Raw genomic sequence first — 20,481 nt, 5'->3', positions numbered from 1 at the left:
ATACAAAAATTAAAATCCAGTTTTCTTTCTGCCATAAGCTCGCAGCACAGTGGTTCTGGCTGTGTGAAACTGTCTTTTTATTTAAAGAATTACTGAATTATTTTAAAGTCATTTTGTAGAATATTTCTCTCTAGATGTTTCCCCCTTTAAGAGAAATTTAGAAGAGGTAGATGATGGAGAGAGGGAACTCTAGAAGACAGCAAGCCAAAACTGAAAGAGCCCTTTTGACTTAACTATGTATTCTACCCCTTCCCTGACACACTTACTGGGTTCCGAATCCAGCATGCTAACCATTACACCATGGAACCTTACAGTCCGCACACACATAATCTCATGGCAGTGAGATAGCAGATGAAAACAGACTGTTTCCTTTAGGGAGCATCATTCTATTTCTTCTAACCTACCTCCCCCTTACTTGTTCATTGAATCAGAATCTGGTAGACAAATTGCTGTGGACACAATAGAAACAGGTGATATTGCACCATGACCATTAATATTATTTTGGATTTTTTCTCTTTTTTGTTCCTTTGGGAATCTGAGGATACTACTCATTGGATAGAAAGCTTTAAAAGTTAAGACATTACTTTAAAGTTAACTTAGAATTTTGACATGAGTCTTTGTTCTTCTAGCTGTATTTGTTCTGTGTATAATCAAACACTTAGAGGCTAATATAGAAGGACTCAGGTCCTTCTCATAGGGTCTATTGAACAGTGTACATCTATCACCTGCACCCCCAGCAATTTTTAAGCCAACACATCCTTTAAAGCTCAGTTAATATGTCTCCTACTACCATGACAAGTTTTATCATCACTATGCCTCGCCCTGTGTGTAGGCCTGTGTCACACTCTCCTGAGTTTACTCTTTGACATCTCCTTCTCACACTGAACCATAAGCTACTTGAAGGTAGGACAATGTCTCATTGAACTTAGTACTCCATAACCTAGCTGTAACTACCACGGCAAGTATTCCATAAATTATATATTAATAAGCTAGTGAGCCCAGTTCAAATGGCTGAATAGAAAGTCTGACACTGAATTAGGAAACAGGAATAATAAAGAACACCAGAATTGAAAAAAATATTGTCCGGCTGGATAGAAAGAGCCATAAACCTTAAATAGAGATGGTGATGAGAATGTTTGTGAAGATAAGTTGACAGAATCTCTGCCTTTTACTTACAAACAGATTTTTTTTCTGGCTCTAATAACATTCCATGCTTAAGTGAAGGTCAAGTTGAATTAGAACAACAGAATTGTTCTAATAGGTCATGAAGGAAATAGAATATTGTCCAAAACAGTAATTAAGCAACTTTCAATTTTGACCACATTTTGCTGATTAAAATCTCTTAAAAGATAAAAATTGAATAAATAAAAACATCAGCAAACAAACAAAATACACATTTGTGCTGTATGCAACTTATGGAGTACCTGATATGAACTAAAGAATGAGTACACTGAGTGGAGTGATGGAATTATAAAAGTTTCATGTAGACACAGAATCAGTTTGGGAAAAAAATGTAACAAGTGTTTTATAAAATTCAAAATTTCTTGGCTAGACATGGTAGGTTCTTTACGATGTGCCTAACCCTCCCCCAGACTCTACTCATTGGTTCAACCTTATTTCCTTCCACTTTCCTGCAGACCTCACCAAAGACATCACCATTCCCCACCAGTCTTTTGCGCACATGTCCTTCTATCCCTGCCACCCTTCAGCCTCTGCTTAAATGCCAGCCCCTCCATGGTGTCTTCCCTGGCTCCCCCAGTGTGAGTGATTCCAGCATCTGTGCCCTAGCATTTCACCATGTCGTATAATTTATCTCTCTGTCTCCACGACACGAAAAAGTGTATCCTTGAAATGAGGGGTCTTGTTATGGTTGTGTTTATGTTTCTACCACTTAGCACCAGGCCTGTTAAAAGAGCATGTGTCCAATGGATAAATTAAGGCTAAATGAGATTTTAGAAAGTTTTAGCACTTAAAAAAAATGAATTGAGGAAATGTAATTTTTAAAGATTTGGATGTGAATGTGTTACATCAATTAAGACATATCTGGGGAAAAAAAGAGGAGAAAACTTGGCCCCAGCAAACAGCTGAGGCCTCAGAATGACAGGGCAGACCTGGGCTGCGTTGCAATTTTTGCCACAGTATAAATCTTACCAGGTGATAAACCCAAGGAGATGTACAACAGAGCTTTCACAAATCAACATTTTCTCGGTATGTGGAAGATCCATTTGGAGTTCAGGCCTACCAGTTCAATACCTTTTCCCTCAATAATCATAGCAAGCAGAAGGTATTTAACTTCATGAATTATAAAATGACAAGAAACATTTCTGTATTGGTTGTAGATTCAATCCCACAACAGGTTCAAAAGTTCAGAAGCAGCTAATACCCAAATTTATCATACTATAGGTTACTACAAGGGCAGCAGTTTTAGATAATATATACTCTAAATTATTAAAGGTAAGCAGCAACAGGTAAGAACATGGTATTTTTAAGTATCCTCTTGTTTCCGAAAATGGTTTAGCACTTTTCAAATACTCCTCAGCATAGTAAATAATAAAACAATGTACACTTTAATATTAGTGAATAGCTGCTTGGCATGTTTTCTTGTAAATAGATATTTTATGTACTATTTTCTATAAATGTGATCATTATAATTGAACATTTATTGAATGCTTATTCTTTGGAAGAAACACTTTAAAATATTAACTACTCAAATTTTGCAATCATATAAAGTGTTTCTGTTATCAAGCTCATTGTACAGATAAGAAAACTGTATATGGGAGAGCATCAAAAACAACATCTTATTTTTATTTCCAAGTCTAAATTTACTCTGTTGCCTTTGCCTGGAAGGTTTTCTCCTCTTCAACTTGCTGCTCTATTCTATGCTCTCTTCAAGACTAATGTAAATCTTTCATGCACTTTCCTACAATCTTCTCTGATTTTTCTAGTCCTAATTTGGCTCCTTCTCTGTAATTATTCACTCATTTATTATTTTATTCATTCATCAAAACATCCACCCATCCATCAAACCTTTACTAGATTTTGTTATGTGAAAGGCTATGAGAGTTGCTGGAGATTTTGCATTAGATTTGTGTTTTTGCTTCACATAGTGGTTTTGTCGTCCTAATTAGATCATAAACTGCTTGAGGGTAAGTACATCAGCTGAAAGCCTAAATGAGTTAGGAGATGACAAAGGATAAATTCCAAAGTATAGTTGGGGTCAGGAAGTCAAAAAAAAAAAAAAAACTAGAGCAAGAGAAAGAAGTGTTTGGGTAATTAGGAGAACTAGGAGAATTTTCTGTACTATTCAGTTTTTCAGAGTGGTCTATAAGATGAAGAATAAGAAAAGACAACTGCCTTTGGGTAGAGTTAGTTGGAATTGTAAACTGAAGTGCTCAAAGAAGCATGCGACGTAGAAGTGACAGGCAGCCTGATACAGAGCTATCAGGAGTGATCTTGCCGAAGGCCCACTGGTGAGTGCCTCCCTATTTACAAGCACTCAATTCACAATTTTAAAAGTAATAAAAAGCAAAACATTGCTGTCTAAGCAAGTACTTCTGGAAGATGGGTTTAGCTAATGAAACATCAGTTTAAGGCCTCTGGGTAATATTGAATATTTACTGAACATTTACTAAGTATTGAACACCTACTGTGATTTTTATGTATCAGCTTGTCTGGGCCACAGATGCTCAGACATTTGATCAAACATTATTCTGGGTGTGTCTGTGAGAGTATTTTTGGATGAGATTAACATTTGAATCTATAGACAGAGCAAAGCAGATTGCTCACCCTAAAGAGGGTGGGTTTTTTTTTTTTTTATTATACTTTAAGTTTTAGGGTACATGTGCACATTGTGCAGGTTAGTTACATATGTATACATGTGCCATGCTGGTGCGCTGCACCCACTAACTCGTCATCTAGCATTAGGTATATCTCCCGATGCTATCCCTCCCCCCTCCCCCCACCCCACAACAGTCCCCAGAGTGTGATATTCCCCTTCCTGTGTCCACGTGATCTCATTGTTCAATTCCCACCTATGAGTGAGAATATGCGGTGTTTGGTTTTTTGTTCTTGCGATAGTTTACTGAGAATGATGATTTCCAGTTTCATCCATGTCCCTACAAAGGACATGAACTCATCATTTTTTATGGCTGCATAGTATTCCATGGTGTATATGTGCCACATTTTCTTAATCCAGTCTATCATTGTTGGACATTTGGGTTGGTTCCAAGTCTTTGCTATTGTGAATAATGCCGCAATAAACATACGTGTGCCTGTGTCTTTATAGCAGCATGATTTATAGTTCTTTGGGTATATACCCAGGAATGGGATGGCTGGGTCAAATGGTATTTCCAGTTCTAGATCCCTGAGGAATCGCCACACTGACTTCCACAATGGTTGAACTAGTTTACAGTCCCACCAACAGTGTAAAAGTGTTCCTATTTCTCCACATCCTCTCCAGCACCTGTTGTTTCCTGACTTTTTAATGATGGCCATTCTAACTGGTGTGAGATGGTATCTCATTGTGGTTTTGATTTGCATTTCTCTGATGGCCGGTGATGATGAGCATTTTTTCATGTGTTTTTTGGCTGTATAAATGTCTTCTTTTGAGAAGTGTCTGTTCATGTCCTTCGCCCACTTTTTGATGGGGTTTTTTGTTTTTTTCTTGTAAATTTGTTTGAGTTCATTATAGATTCTGGATATTAGCCCTTTGTCAGATGAGTAGGTTGCAAAAATTTTCTCCCATTTTGTAGGTTGCCTGTTCACTCTGATGGTAGTTTCTTTTGCTGTGCAGAAGCTCTTTAGTTTAATTAGATCCCATTTGTCAATTTTGTCTTTTGTTGGCTTTTGGTGTTTTAGACATGAAGTCCTTGCCCATGCCTATGTCCTGAATGGTAATGCCTAGGTTTTCTTCTAGGGTTTTTATGGTGTTAGGTCTAACGTTTAAGTCTTTAATCCATCTTGAATTGATTTTTGTATAAGGTGTAAGGAAGGGATCCAGTTTCAGCTTTCTACATATGGCTAGCCAGTTTTCCCACACCATTTATTAAATAGGGAATCCTTTCCCCATTGCTTGTTTTTCTCAGGTTTGTCAAAGATCAGATAGGTGTAGATATGCGGTGTTATTTCTGAGGGCTCTGTTCTGTTCCATTGATCTATATCTCTGTTTTGGTACCAGTAGCATGCTGTTTTGGTTACTGTAGCCTTGTAGTATAGTTTGAAGTCAGGTAGTGTGATGCCTCCAGCTTTGTTCTTTTGGCTTAGGATTGACTTGGCGATGCAGGCTCTTTTTTGGTTCCATATGAACTTTAAAGTAGTTTTTTCCAATTCTGTGAAGAAAGTCATTGGTAGCTTGATGGGGATGGCATTGAATCTGTAAATTACCTTGGGCAGTATGGCCATTTTCATGATATTGATTCTTCCTACCCATGAGCATGGAATGTTCTTCCATTTGTTTGTATCCTCTTTTATTTCCTTGAGCAGTGGTTTGTAGTTCTCCTTGAAGAGGTCCTTCATATCCCTTGTAAGTTGGATTCCTAGGTATTTTATTCTGTTTGAAGCAATTGTGAATGGGAGTTCACTCATGATTTGGCTCTCTGTCTGTTGTTGGTGTATAAGAATGCTTGTGATTTTTGTACATTGATTTTGTATCCTGAGACTTTGCTGAAGTTGCTTATCAGCTTAAGGAGATTTTGGGCTGAGACAATGGGGTTTTCTAGATATACAATCATGTCGTCTGCAAACAGGGACAATTTGACTTCAAGAGGGTGGGTTTTATCCAATGGGTTAAAGACCTGAATAGAACTAAAAGGCTGCCCTTCCCCTAGTTCCTGCCTTTGGTCTCAAACTGAAACATCAGCTTTTTCGAGGACTCAAGCCTACTTTCCTGCAGACTATAACTACACCATCAGCCCTCCTGGGTTTCCAGCTTGCTGTCTCACTTTGGGACTTGCCAGCCTCCATAATCATTTGAGCCAATTCCTTACTTTCTCTCCCCTTGCCCCACACAAATCCACATGCAAACACACACACATGCACACATCCTATTGGTTCTGTTTCTCTGGAGAACCCTGACTAATACAGCATGATATGGAATTTACACACAATTTGTCTGTTAATCTTGATACCAACCTATGAGGTTGGTCCCATTGTTAGTCCCACTCAGGTGAGGAAACTGAGGCATGGTATGTTTAAGTAACATCCTAGTAAGCAAAAAAGCAAGGATTTAAATTAAAATCTCATGCCAGGTGCAAGGTTTTTATCCACAATGCACACTTCTGCTGCCCCAAAAAAGATCTCTTGTGCCTAAGAAAGTTGTATCCGTGTGGGGATAAAAGCCAGATTGCAGAGGGGTTAGGAGGTTGATGAGAAAATGAAGGCAGTAGCTTTAGATTTCTCATTCAAGTATTTGGCAGCAGAAAATAGAAAAGAAGTAAGGTGCTAATTATTAAAGGAAATAAGGTCAAAGGATGAACATTTCAATGCATGAGAACCTGTCAATGTTAGAAAGTAAAAAGATGCAGAGAAAGGGACTGAAGAATGTCCATGGTTGGGAAGAAATTGCTGCCTTCCTTTTTCTATGAAAAAAAGGAAAATAATCCCAGTCATGCTTCTGACCTCTAGGCAAATATCAGGTTACCTTCTGGGCCATTTAAATTTATCCTTCATTCCTAGCTACCAGACAGAGTATTTCCTTGCCTTGCTGATGAACAAGGCTCTCTGACAGATATTGACCATATAGTTGCTTTTTTCTTTCATCACCATTCAATTTGCTTAAATAAAAAGTCCAATGAAATATGACTTCCTTGAATATATCTACGCAGCATCTATCCTCTCCCGTTATTTTTGGATGTCCCTCTGGAGTGATTTGGCTATATGCATGTAACTCCCCATTCACCACATCTAACATGCAAGTCTTAAATTTTTAAAATTGCCTGGGCAGTCTATGGACAGTACAGTGCAGGTTGTCCATCTGTGACTTGAAATATGATACTCTGAATCGAAAGGAATTAGTCATCATATCCATCTCTATTGCATTTCGTGTCTCCTTTTCCTCCCCGTCGTTCACTAGACAGCAATGTTCACTGATCAAATATTCTCTGTAAATTGAGAGAACATTTAGCTGATTTATGGGGCTTTTAGCTATTATATACTTACCTATTCAATAAAAGTAAGTACTTACATCACATGACACATATGCTACCTTCACAATATAAGATCTTTCCTTCAAGGGATTCAGGCATCAAATTGTAATGAGATTTCTTGTAGCTAATACATCACTTAAGGGCAAACTGACATTCTGAATCTTTTTTTTTTTTTTTTTTTTTTTTTTTTTTTTTGCTTTTCATCAATGGAATTAAGATCATGGCATTCTTTGTAAGATCCCTAAAATTAAGATTTTTTTTCATGTAAATCTGTTGAATAAATTAGAGTAACAATTTGGTTTTGCACTTAAGGGAGAAAAAGGGCTACTGACATGGTCTTTTTTTTTCAAAATTGCCAATTTCCAGAACCAGAAGCAGAGTAAATGCTGCCAATGCATACATACCCTGGAAAAATCTTGAGGGAAAATACATCTTATGCTGATCTAATTTTTCCATATCAATAAATCAATAATTAATGAATACATATTTACTTTGTATAAATCTTTGAGTGTACAAAGAAGTATAAGACATAACCAACTGTATATTCCTTGAAAATCCATCTAATTCAGAGTTTCTCAGTGTTGGTACTATTGACACTTTGAGTCATTTTTTGTTGTCGGGGGCTGTCTTGTGCATTGCAGAATGTTTAGCAGAATCTGCCTTCTACCCAACAGAGGCCAGTGGCACTCTCTCTCTTGTGACAACCAAAAAATGTCTCTAGACATTGCCGATAGTCCCCTGGGAGGCAAAGTTCAGGTTGACTAGACTCTGTTCATCCTTATTTGCATTCTGGTCCCTTTAATCTCTGTAGCTTTTGGTTCCTGATCTGGAATGTTCTTTCCACCTTGCTGCAAACCCAACTTTATACATATAATAGCAAATAACTACCATTTATTGAATGTCTACTCCCTGCCAGGTATGGAGTTAAGTGTTTTACATACATGAACTCAGGTACTCTTGTTCCCACCTGTAAAGCTCTGAGAAGTTAAGTAATGTGACCAAAGTCCTTCGGCCAGTATGTGGCAGAATCAGCATTTGAATCCAGTGCCACCTGACTACAGCCCCTGAGTTCTCAACTATAAGGGCAGTGTGTTACATAGTTACTCATCACTTTGTATATCTGGTATTAAGTGGAAGACGGGTTAATACAATAGAGGAAGGAGAGTTTATTCTCTGGAATTGCCTTCCCTCCAAATAGAATGTCTGGAATTTAACTCTTCTCAAAAGTAAAGTTGTTAATCCATGAGTTGTTCATTGTGAAGAGAAATAGCCAAAACCTGTGACAAAGAGAAGCTACAAATTCACATGTTATAAAGTTAAGAACAAAAAGTCCATGCAGAACATCAGTTGGCTGATAAGTAAACCCCGAGGGCATAGGAAAGACCCACCACTAGTCAGGGAGGTCAAGAATGTAACCCCTAGAAAGGACACGGAGGTGGAGAGAGCCTGACTCTGAGTAACTGGAGGAAAAACATCATTTCCCAGCAAGGAACAATTAATGATTAAATGAAATTTCTACCTACATTATCAGGAATTAATTGGGTATAGATTATTTTCTTAGGTTGAATTTGATCAATTTTTATATGAAAAACAATTTGTCATTTTGGTTCATCTAAGCTAATTTGTATGTATTTAATATCTTTATAAATGGCTTGATTTAAGGTATTATTAAACCAGAAATATTGTGATGTGGGCATAAAAGTTTGAAAGACACTATCTATGTGTGCAAGATATGGTTTCTTTTGATGTTTTTAGGTTATCTATTACATAATAAATGACTTACACAATTTGTGCTCAAAATGGGACAGAGTTTGCTTACTGCCTGATTAATAATATTATATTAGACACTGTGGATAAGGCAGAAAATGATTATAACACAATTTCTAGTCCCCAAAATACTTAGAATCTAGTAGGGTAATTAAGACACATCGACAAGTAGCTATAACATAATGCAGAATGTGGTATGTGCAATAAGTGTTCTAAAAAGGATATCAGATTCTGAGGAGAGAGCATATTCAGTTTTAATATCAGAGAAGATTTCTGGAAAAGAAAACATTTAAAATGTGTCTTAAAAGAGTGAGTTGTAAGATGGAAAGAGGAGATGGAGGAAAAGATGTCATTTTAGGTATGGAGGGCAATGTAAGCAAAGATATGAGAATGGGAGGGGAGGCTGTTGGGATCTTTTTCAATCAATAGCTATAGGTAGCACATGAAATTTCAACATGTTTTCTTGAGCACCACCTCTGTGCCAGGCAATGTTATGTGGCACTCGTGAATTAAGGCTGGATAAAATGCAGGCCTACCCTCAAGGAGCAGGGAGAGCTAAGACAAGAAAAGCTATTTGAGGACAGACCATGGGGAGCTTTGAATCTGACCTCCAGACTAAGAGATTTGCACAATACTTAACCATTTAAACTTTCAGTCAGGGACCTCTGTTGCAATATAATTAGAATTATATTTTAGGCAGATGAATTTCATAGACAAATGAATATAGGAACATAGAGAGAATTCTTACAAGATTATCATAATGGTCCAGGAAAAAGATAGTGCAAGAATAGAAAACAGATTTATAAGTGAGAATTTCAGCAGGAGAGATCATCAGAATTGGGCATTTGATTTGTGGACATGTATGTGTTGGCAGTGGTTTATCCTTTTGAGTCTAACAAGCTAAATTTATCTGCTTTTTAAAACATGAGAAAATATGATTAAATAGTTGTCTTCACCATTGTCTGTAAACACAATTATACTAAAAACGACTTGATGGATATATTTCAGGAACAGTAAGGGGAGGCTATGATCCTTGGCTCAAAAAGAAAACTGAAGGACTAAAATAAAGATTTTCTGGGAATTCAAAAAAGCTTTGAAGATGATAATTTTTTTTAATTTAAACTCACAAAGCACAATAGAATTAAAATGCCTGGATTATCTGGACTAGTTACATTCCAGAAATTGAGTCAGTACACTTGATACAATTTCTCTCTTACCTTTGCATATTTATTTTAAATATAACTTAATGCAAACAACAAAAATCTACAACACCCATTTTTTAAATTAGTACTCCAAAATGTTCAAGGGGAAATTAGCTTAAGGAATTTGTCCTGGCATACCAAATCCTGTATACTGTAAGCATCAAGAAATTTTTATTCTTTTCCTCTAACACTGCAAAAACAAACAAAATTTGCACCCTTAATATCAACATCTAAAAAATGAGACTGCTAGAAGTGACATTGTCAATGCCAATACTGTATCAATACCATGCAGGCACACTGAATGTCAGCCAGTTGGGAGAAAACATCCTTTCAACAACATCCCCAGCCCAGTTCCAGCAAATTCCTATCGCAGCCAAGGGCAAAACTCTAAAGACATACCCTAATCTACAGTTCTGTCTGCCAGAGTCTAAACTCACATGGATTAAATTTACACCCTGGAAATTTTTCTTAAGAGGCACCGCCTTTCATGGCAGGTGATAGAACCGGAGGGCGCTGATAAAATCATTGCAAAAGGAGGACTCTGTTCTACTTGTGTTGTCTGGTGATCCCAATAGGAGAATTAAGATATGGCTGGTGTTCAAATAGCATTCCTTCACAGATCAATAGATGATGCCAAAAGAATCAGTCAATCCAAGGAAGCATCTGATCTCACCTGAGCAGGGCCTCATGTAGCTCAAACAGTGGGTGAAAGTTTTCTCCCTATTTTTCATCAGAGTGGTGTAGTCAAGGGTCACTGAGGCAAGAACAAATTATTCAGCATTCAGGTATTGTCTAGGAGAATGTTGCAGGTGTCTTCCCCTGCAAACCAGTTTTCCTGAATGCCGTGGAGGAAAACTTGAATTTAGTTTAAAAGCCTATCCCTTGTTCTAGGTGAGTCTACATTTAGGCAACATAAGAAAATTATCTGAATATTAGTTTTTATCCAGAATAAAAAGAATTAAGAAGAATAAAGACAAATCTTAATTTGGGGGTGGGGAGGGAGCGAGGAGAGTGATTAAAAAGTCAATGTCTTAAGATTTTTAATAGAAATGTATCTAAATGAATTTTTAGAGCCACATTATGACATATTCAATATTAAATCCATGTTACAGAGGCAGGGGCGGGCAGATCACTTGAGGTCAGGAGTTCGAGACCAGCCTGGCCAACATGGTGAAACCCCGTTTCTACTAAAAATAATAATAAAAAAAGTAGCTGGGTGTGGTGGCAGGCGCCTGTAGTCCCAGCTACTCAGGAGGCTGAGGCAGGAGAATTGCTTGAACCCAGGAGGCAGAGGTTGCAGTGAGCCGAGATCGTGTCACTGCACTCCAGCCTGGGCAACAGAGCAAGACTTCATCTCAACCAGGGGAGAAAAAAAAAAAAAGAAGAAGAAAAAGCACACAAGTGAAAAACATGACAATAACCATTTTTAGAAACCTAAACATAACTTTGAAATGATACGCCAACCTGTTTCTCACTCCTCTGGAGATAGGAAAAGATGAGATATTTTTATCTTTATTAAGAGAAATAAAAATGAGATGTAATGAACCTCTGGACCAGGAGTGTCCAATAGGACTGTCTGTAATAAAATAGAACTTTTACCCTGCTGTCCGATATGTTAGCCACCTGCCATAGGTTGCTAAGTGAGCACTTGAAATATGTGACTGAGGAACTATACTTTTAATTTTGCTTAATCTTATCAAGTATGCCTTTGAATTTAAATCCCTACATGTGGCTAGTGGCTATTGTGTTGGACAGTTCAGGTCTAGGCAATGCCAATTGCTAAATGTTAGACATGTGGTCCTGAATAAAGGTAGGAGAATCTTGCAAGACCTTTTGCCGATCATCTTCTGCATTTGGTCAGACCTTTCCTACCATAGCCGCATATTTGCCTTATTTATTTAAGTAGAATCTCATAAGCTAGAGTGGACTCTGGAATTTGAAAACCTTAAATAGCTAGATGTATGCTTCATTTTTAAAGCTTGTGAAGTAGAGAAGTCATGTCTAAGAAGCTATGTAGACAGTTATTATTTAGCTAGGTGAAGAGCTTGAGAAAGATTATTATTATTAACCAAAATGTATTTCCTTTCTATTGCCTCAGGTTAGAGGAAGAAATGCACCTCTTGCATAAATCACAGGTGGCAGTATAATATCATATCACAGATGGTGTCCAAAGTAAAAATCAGTTTGTGTTTCAAACTGATTTGTAATAGTAAAATAAAAGTTATAAATAGGAAAAAGAACTCAGAATTCTTTTCTCCAGGAAAACTTAAAATTAGATTCCAACAGCAGCCACAGAAACCAAATTAACCTCTCAGTGATATTACTACATAATACCACGGGTAATATTCCATGGCGTGAAGTGATACAACTGTACTAGAAGTTAAAATATTGAAATATTATTGTATACTCAAAAATTAGCCACTGCCTTGCCTGAAACCCTCACAGCCTTTACTGTTTAAGACCAGCATGTCTCCCATGAGAAAATCCAGAAACTAAAGGACTGAAGCTTGGACCAGCAAAGGGCTGCCTGGACTTGAACCGCAAAAGGCATTTTTCATCATTGGTCACTGCCTATGCTGTGTCCATTGCCAAATAGTTTCCATATAATCCCCAGCATGCTCTTCCTATAGTATTATTGTACTGGAAGGTATGTTAACTGTGGGACATATACAGATGATCCTTGACTTATGATGGGGTTACATCCTAATAAACCCATCCTAAGTTGAAAATACCATATATCAAAATGCACTTAATACTCCTAACCTGCTAAACATCATAGCTCAGCCTAGATTATGTTAAATGCGCTCAGAAGACTTTCATTAGCCTACAGTGGGGCAAAATTATCTAATACCAATCCTATTTTATAATAATATGTTGACTATCTCGTGTAATTTATTGAATATTGTACTGAAAGTAAAAAAAACGGAATGGTTGTGTGGGTACTCAAAGTAGATTTCTACTGGACGCACATCATTTCTGCACCATCATGGAGGTGAAAAATCATAAGTTGTACCATCCTAAGTCAGGGACCGTCCTTGCTTGATTTCTGAAAGATCACAAACTTTTAAAACTGAGTAGCAAAGGTGTAGAACTGTATAGAAAATATATATTTATATCCCAGATTCTAAGTTCTATGCAGAAGTATAGCTAACTGCCATGTTGTTAAACGGTCAAATACATACAGGTTTATGCCCTCTAAAATCCTACTTTGAGTAGCTCTGACCCAGCAATCAATCCCTTTGCCTAACACCTGTGGGTGAAGTGGTGTCCTTCTCCAGCTTTGTGCCTGCTAAGTAGAGCCCACCACTGAAAAGGTTTTCATAGGCTGAATTACAGTGAATTACTAAGAGCAATTTAAAAATGGAGATGTGTATTTTCCTAGAGGTCTGTTTTTCTAGGAAGCATTTTTGTTGGAACTATATAGTTTGGATGAGTTATTTCACATATGAAGATGACTCTTAATTTTTAATCCTAAAAAACTAGGAGAAGATTAATCATTGAGAGGAAAATTGATACATTAAAAGCATTTTAGCATTAGTGCCCTACATTTTTCTAACTTCTCTTAGTTTCACCAAATTCTAAACTTCTCAGCAGTGTATGACGAAGCCTATTATAACATTATTTGTTAGATAAACCTATGATGAGTGTTTTAAACAAGTCATGAAACCTTTTGGCTCACTTCTGACAGTTATAAATTTTTATTTAGTCCCTAATCTCAGAACATTTACAAAAAGAATTAGGTCATGTAACTAATGTGTTTTTAGATTTGAGCTATTCTTTTGCCCTTCTGCTCCTTTGAAAACCATAAAAATATTGCATACTACAATGTCAACTCAATCTTTTGTATACTTATTCTACTTATGTACATTTATTTGCCAGTGACATATTCTCTAGCCGTTCATCACCATAGAAGATATAGAGGTGATATATCATATGATTTAAATAGCAGTTGTCTTAAGAAATGAACTGTGCTTCACATTTTGCATAGTTACATGTTTTAACTTGTCTTACATACTATTCCTTGTGGATTCTGGGACTCTGGCACTAAGTTAATTAATATGATTCAGATAAAGGCGTTCCAAAGAAAATAAAGAATACCACTATTAATACCACAATCACTGTTAAGTGGGATTTTTCCATTGGGATACCATGGAAATTTTTTCTTGACCCTAAAAAGATGAGTTGTTTTTTTTTTTTTTTAATCCAAGAGAAAGCCAGAATCCTAAATAACAAGGGAGGATACTAGATACAATATTTATCTTTTCCTTTTACTTTCAAGTAATTACTTTGCTTTATGACCTTGCCAGCTGGACCACAACCAAGCTTCTTACACAGAGTGAGTCAAAACTAATCCATCCTCTCTATTAGAAAGGGTTATGAACTGTCCCCAACCACAACACTTTCAGAAGACAAATTTGGAAGAGCCTCTTTCAAGAGACCACCATCAGTTAGGAAGGGTTGGTGCCTTTCAAAGACTGCTCCATTCAATACCAGTCATCTCAAAGAGTAGGGGCAATTTTCATCCCCTATTGTCAACCATCTATAACACAGTCACTGCAACATGAAAGAGAAAGAAGGTTATTCCTTTGCATAGATGCTTGTGAACATAATCATCAGAGAGCAAATATATGGTGAGGCAGAACTTAGCACATCAAATTCATGACATGCAATAGGTTGGTTACCCTCAATCAGAAACAAATAAAACAATGTAAAACGTAATCAGCATCAGCAAAACTATCTCACATCTTGAGATTCTTTAGATGCATTTTTCATCTCCAAAATTTGGAAGATGACCTAAAGTTCTAAAAACATTCACACAAAGTCTGAACTGAAGATTCATAGAAGCTGAATTTGGAGATTCCAAATGGGGCAAAGCCAGGAAGTTAAATGGAGCTGATTTTAGTCCCAAGGACCTCACTAACTAGAAGTGGGAATTAGGCATTTTATTTCTTTGAGCTTAATTTTCTGTATCTGCTAAATGAGAACAAGAATATTCGTTATTCATCTTCCACTTAAAGGCTATAATGAGATTTGGAGGAATATGTGTAGCTCCCTGCCCCTCCAATGAAGTACACATACTCCTGGTTGCAAGGTCCTTGAAACCATGGGATACCAACATTGCATCTTCCTAGAGCATCAATTTTACTATAAGATTTTGTAAGATAGTCGAAACAGTTTTGAATTAGGCTTTTTTATTAAAATAAAGATAGTTATATCATGGATTTTGTGTGAATCATTAAGATAAAATGTAAAATTTCAAAAAAAAATCTTACTTTGGGGGAACTTCTTTGGCCCATACTCCAGGAACTCCAGCATTAATCATTCATTCTTGTCTGCTGTTTGTGATTCTTAACTGGAAAAATTTGGTAATCCCCATAAATGAAAGCATTTTAAAACTTAAAAGCTGTCTACGAACGCATGCTCTTCATAGCAGTCTCAATGGTAATTTTGTCAAATAAGGGAGCATCCTTGAAAACTGTTTTTATCTAGCATCTCTTTTTTATGCAGAGCTACCAGTTTGTTCTTCTGTTTGGGATGTTTGTCATCATCTCATGTATCTACTTACATATATACTTTTATTACACCCATTCCCCAGTAAAAGAAGCAGATCTGAGAAGCTCAATTGAGTAATCCCCAGAAATAAAGAGATTGATGAATAAACGCTGGCCACACCAGCCCAGGCTCCCCTAGGGCTCCTGAGACTGGCTGGAGCAGAGCGGCAGATGGGGTATTGTCTCTAGCCAGCCATGCTCAGCTGGTCCCCTGTGTCTCCCATTCTGACTATGATCATCATCTGAATATGCATTTCAGCCTCACTTTTCTAATGGATGCAGAATAGTTTTAACTAAGCACCATGAAGATTTCAACCAAATGAACAGAAATTCTGTAGATTGTGTCCTGTATTGGAAAGATACTGATATTTGTTTTAGTGCTTCCAGTATAAACTCAAACTCTAGGGATAGCAAGCATGCAAGAGGCAAGAATCACTCCGAATAGTTAAAAATCTAGCTGACTTCATTATAATGCAAGCCTAGTATGAAACCCATGGCCTCCCTCTAGCCAGTTTACAAAACTTTACAGAGTGCATTTCATCAGTTAATTTCACTTTTGGTCATGTCATATTTTTTCTACTCTAATTTTTCTTTTACTCTGACTTCTTCACCGCTTTTTATATTTTACCTTGTAATGTGTGTGCATGTGGTGTGTGTACTTGGCAGCAACCTTGTGTATGTGTGTGCATGTGTGTACTTGGAAGCAATCCTGAATGATATAATAAATACAATATTTTTATTTTTTATTATTTTGCCTATGAGGTTTTTTTTAAAATCTAAAAGGAAGCCAGAATCCTAAATAACAAGGGAAGATACTAGATACAATATTTATCTTTTCCTTTTCTTGAAAATGATTAGAGGAAATGAAGAAAATACAGTTAAATTCTTCTTAGCAAGGTTCTCCACATTATGATTTTACTCAAAATTCCTTTTCCCTTTCTACATCATGCATTCACACATAGTAAAACTTACTTTGCAGAATCTTGTTGCAATATTTGTATCTGTTTGCTGAATACCTCTTTGAAACAGGAATTTTACTGGGTTTTTTTTTTTGCATAGATTATTTTGTGTAATCCTCACAGATATCCCAATTTTAGACATGAGAAAACTATAATTTGCGGCCATTTTCGGCCTCTTAGCTTCAATCAAAATTCTCCCTGGTTCTATGTTATTTCTAGGAAAGCAAAATAATGCCATTGGAAGATTAATAACAATAATAGTAATTCCTTGAGTACCTACTACATGCCATCTGTAGGTATAATGCTGACCTGGCTACATCCGCTATTTTACTTAATTCCTACGGCAAACTTGAACATGGCCCTTGCTCCTTTTGTAGCTAGAGATTCTTAGACAAAGTGAGGTTCCATGACCTGTACAAGACCCCTTAGCTACCAAGCATTAGAACGAAAATTTCAGATAAGTTCTGCCTGTTCTAGTGTCAAATATAACATTCTTTAATTGCACCAACCAGTTCTTCATTATTTATAAGTTGCAGGTAGTGTGTCACCCTGATAATTTCTTTCCTAAGTTATTTTCCTGCTTGCAAAAGTTTCTCTTTATATATTCTCAGCCCCAATTCTTTTTTTTTTAAAAAAGGTAATCCAACATAAGAGAGAAGAAAAATTGACAGAGGATAACATAAATGAATGTAAACGAAGAAATCAGGCTAGGAGCTATTTGGCTGGGATTCCTGCTTGTTTGCTGGTAACTCACCTTTGTAAAGTGGCCATATGTTCTCTCCCCACTAGCTGGCAATAACAAGGGGAACGTGCTGCTCCCAGCCCTCTTAGCTGGCCTGCTTCTCATTTCGGTCCTCTTCAGTCTAGAGGCATCACTTACTGAACAGCTGTAATCAGGCTATTAAAAGCGGTACATATAATTTAAAAAACAAATCCCAGACACATGTAACTACTGTATTGCTGGCTCATCTGTCTAAATGTCATATTGAGTGGGGCTATGGTGGCTGGGGAAAATAAAAGTTGCTGTCTGCCACTGCAGTTCCTAAAGTCCAACATTAGGAACATATCTATAGAAGGACATAGAAGTGGTGATGAACAACTGTGGAAAGAATGTTAGTGATGTGGAGGTTCAAGCCAAGGAGACTACTGTTAACCCCAGCCCAGCCTCGGTTATGTGCAGCATGGGGAATCTTTAGGTCTGTAGGAGATTCAAATCCAGGTTTGGTTCACTGGGTTCCCATTGATCCGTTACTCCTGAAATCACTTTGAATTCTGCTGTTTAGTTTAGTGTATTATCCTACCTCTTTCTCTCCTCTTTGCCAGCAATAGTTAACTAACATAAAATGTTCTGATTTAACCCATCAGGCAAAGCCAGAGATCCAAACTAATGAGTCTCAGAAATGTGAATTTCATTAAATGTTGAACAGGCCACTTTCAATCAGTTTGGAAGCTTCTGGGAATCATGAGCTGAGGTTAGACTGTTCTCACAACTTGATCACACTCAGTTGTTTACTGTGGCCAAGCTAGAACAAAAGGTTTTGTTTTATTTTATGCATAAAATTTTTCTGGAACAGAGAAGTTAAATGAGTAGAAATATGTAATGGACATTAATGATGTGATTTTTTTTTCTTGTCCTGTATTGTTTTCCAATTGTTTCACTATTTGTGTCTTTTTCAATTAGTAAGTTGGAAGATGAAAGAAAGATAGGGGCTTTGTATTTATTATCCTTCATTCACAACACTTTAACATAAGCTATTTTAATTTCTAATTTCTTACATATCGATAGAGGCTCTTATAACATATTGTAACTGTTGTTCTTACAAAATGCTATGCCTGCTTCATAAATAAATGGTTGCCTTGAATTTTTAGGCTTCGCAAATTTATATCTACAGATGACATTTGATATCCTATTTTATTGGATAATTGATAGTGGGACAATTCTACAGCAAGAAGCTTTTATCAAACTCTCACGTGTGTCTGCTCCCTGCTGGAACAGATGCAGTCCTCTCTTCAATCAGTACCAGCTAAAATACTTAACTAGGCTGAAAAGCTAAATATGTTATCTAACTGCATAAATTGGGCGTTTGATTCTGTCTTTTATAGTACACTCAAGACTGGTTTAGAAATTCTAAGAGTCTCAGTCCTTGTGGTTTAATTGAAACTGACCCGTCTCTAGCCCTTGGGTGGTGCTGTGATACCTAAGGCATCAGATGCCCAGTGCTGCAGGCCACAGTGATTGGTCCAGGAGAACCAATGAGAAGCAAGGACACTCTTGCTGGCGATGTTGGGGTAGAACAGTTCCCGCACATATGCAGCGGCTGTTTCTGGGGTTTCTATTCCATTAATCAGTTTTTTGATTCCTGTGCCAATGCTGCCCTATCTTCAGTACAGTAGTCTATGAGAAGCCATGAGATATGATAAGACAATTTCCCCAAATTTATTCTTTTAGGCATGTCTTGGTACACTTTGTCCTTTAATATACATTTTAGAATCAGCTGGCCAGGTTTCTTTATAACTCTTGATTGGAATTTGCAATGAAGTCATAGAACATTTTGGGGATAATTAACATTGTTAAGATTTTGAGCTTTCTTAAATACAAACATAAGGTATCTCTCCATTTTTTTCTGAGTTACCTTAAAACTTTTAATAAAGTTGTATATATTTATTTATAAAGTTTATATATAGTTAGATTTATTCCCAGATACTTTATATTTTTGTTTCTATTATGAACTTTATCTTTCTAAAGTATATTTTCTAAGTTTTTCTGCTAGCATATTGAGATACAATTGATTTTTATATATTGATCTTAAATTAGGCACTTGAGTAAACTCTTTTAATTCTAAATTTTTGTGGATTGTTTTGGATCAGTGTTTCTCAGCTTTTTTATTATTGCCCCACCTCCAAGGAAACTTTTAGATTATTTTTTTCCTAATTGCCCCCTCACCCGAATCAATCAATTTTAATATCACAGGGTCACTGTGTGTCTGTTTAAGTACATCTATGCTTTATACATAAAAAGAGTAAGATTATTTTGCCTACCAAGAATAGATTTTCTCTCTTTATGGAGTGACATCACCTCATTGAGAATGCATGTCTTGATTAAAAGGAAGATCATTTGAGACCTGATGTATATTTTTTAGAAGTTCCTTGCTGTAGTTCTCTTGGCAGTACACTCTTAGTTTTGTTTATCTGAAAGATAATATTACCAGGCATAGTTCCAGGTTGACTGTCATTTTCTGTCAGTACTTTGATACTATTCTACTAACTTCAGGCTTCCATTGTTGATGTTGAGAAACCTGCTTGCGATTCCTTTGTAGGTGATCTGTTTTTCTGCTTTTTGAATGCCTTTAAGATCTTCTCATTGTTTTCAGTGGTCTGTACTTTCACCACAATGTGTCTGAATTTATTTTTATTTGTCTTGCTTAGTATATGTTGTATTTTATATTGCTGAAGATTCATGGTTTTCATCAGTTCTAGAAAGTTCTCAGCCATGTTCTCTTCAATACTGCTTCTCCTCCCAAAAGAAAATAAGTGCACTAATAAGCAAGAAAGGGAAACGAATGCCAAAAAATAATTGTCCACACATGCTGCAGACCAGTCCTCACAAAACTGACATCCTTAGTGATGAGAGGACATGGATGTTGATGCAGAGTATTCGTGCATGTAGATACAAAGTATTCAAGCATGGCCACACAGGCATGCAGACCTACACCCAAGGAGGGGGCTATCATGGCCTCGCCTCATCATCATGCTTTGCTAGCAGGGGCATTCCTTAGTCCTATTCTTGGTCCCTAAATCAGCATCTGAAAAACCATCTTTTTTAAAAAAAAACCCAAGCCTCTGACTTAATATCCCCAAA

The 20,481-nt window shown here is 36.8% G+C and overlaps 1 long non-coding RNA gene across 1 annotated transcript in view; it reads right to left on the bottom strand.

Moving 5' to 3' along the window:
• LOC102724214 (uncharacterized) overlaps positions 1-17,707 on the bottom strand; it is a 51,115-nt gene extending 33,408 nt beyond the window's left edge. Inside the window, exons 1-2 of the long non-coding RNA XR_932105.3 lie at positions 17,377-17,707; positions 15,385-15,464 (exon numbers count right to left, since the gene is read on the bottom strand). This is a non-coding gene — a long non-coding RNA (uncharacterized LOC102724214). The remainder of the gene's footprint in view (positions 1-15,384; positions 15,465-17,376) is intronic.
• Between the last annotated feature and the right edge of the window lie 2,774 nt (positions 17,708-20,481).

The sequence above is a fragment of the Homo sapiens genome, chromosome 15, assembly GCF_000001405.40.
Source record: "Homo sapiens chromosome 15, GRCh38.p14 Primary Assembly".
In the NCBI taxonomy this organism is placed as follows: domain Eukaryota; kingdom Metazoa; phylum Chordata; class Mammalia; order Primates; family Hominidae; genus Homo; species Homo sapiens.
The sequence above is the reverse complement of the archived record's forward strand: the minus strand, read 5'-3'. Positions and strand labels throughout refer to the sequence as shown.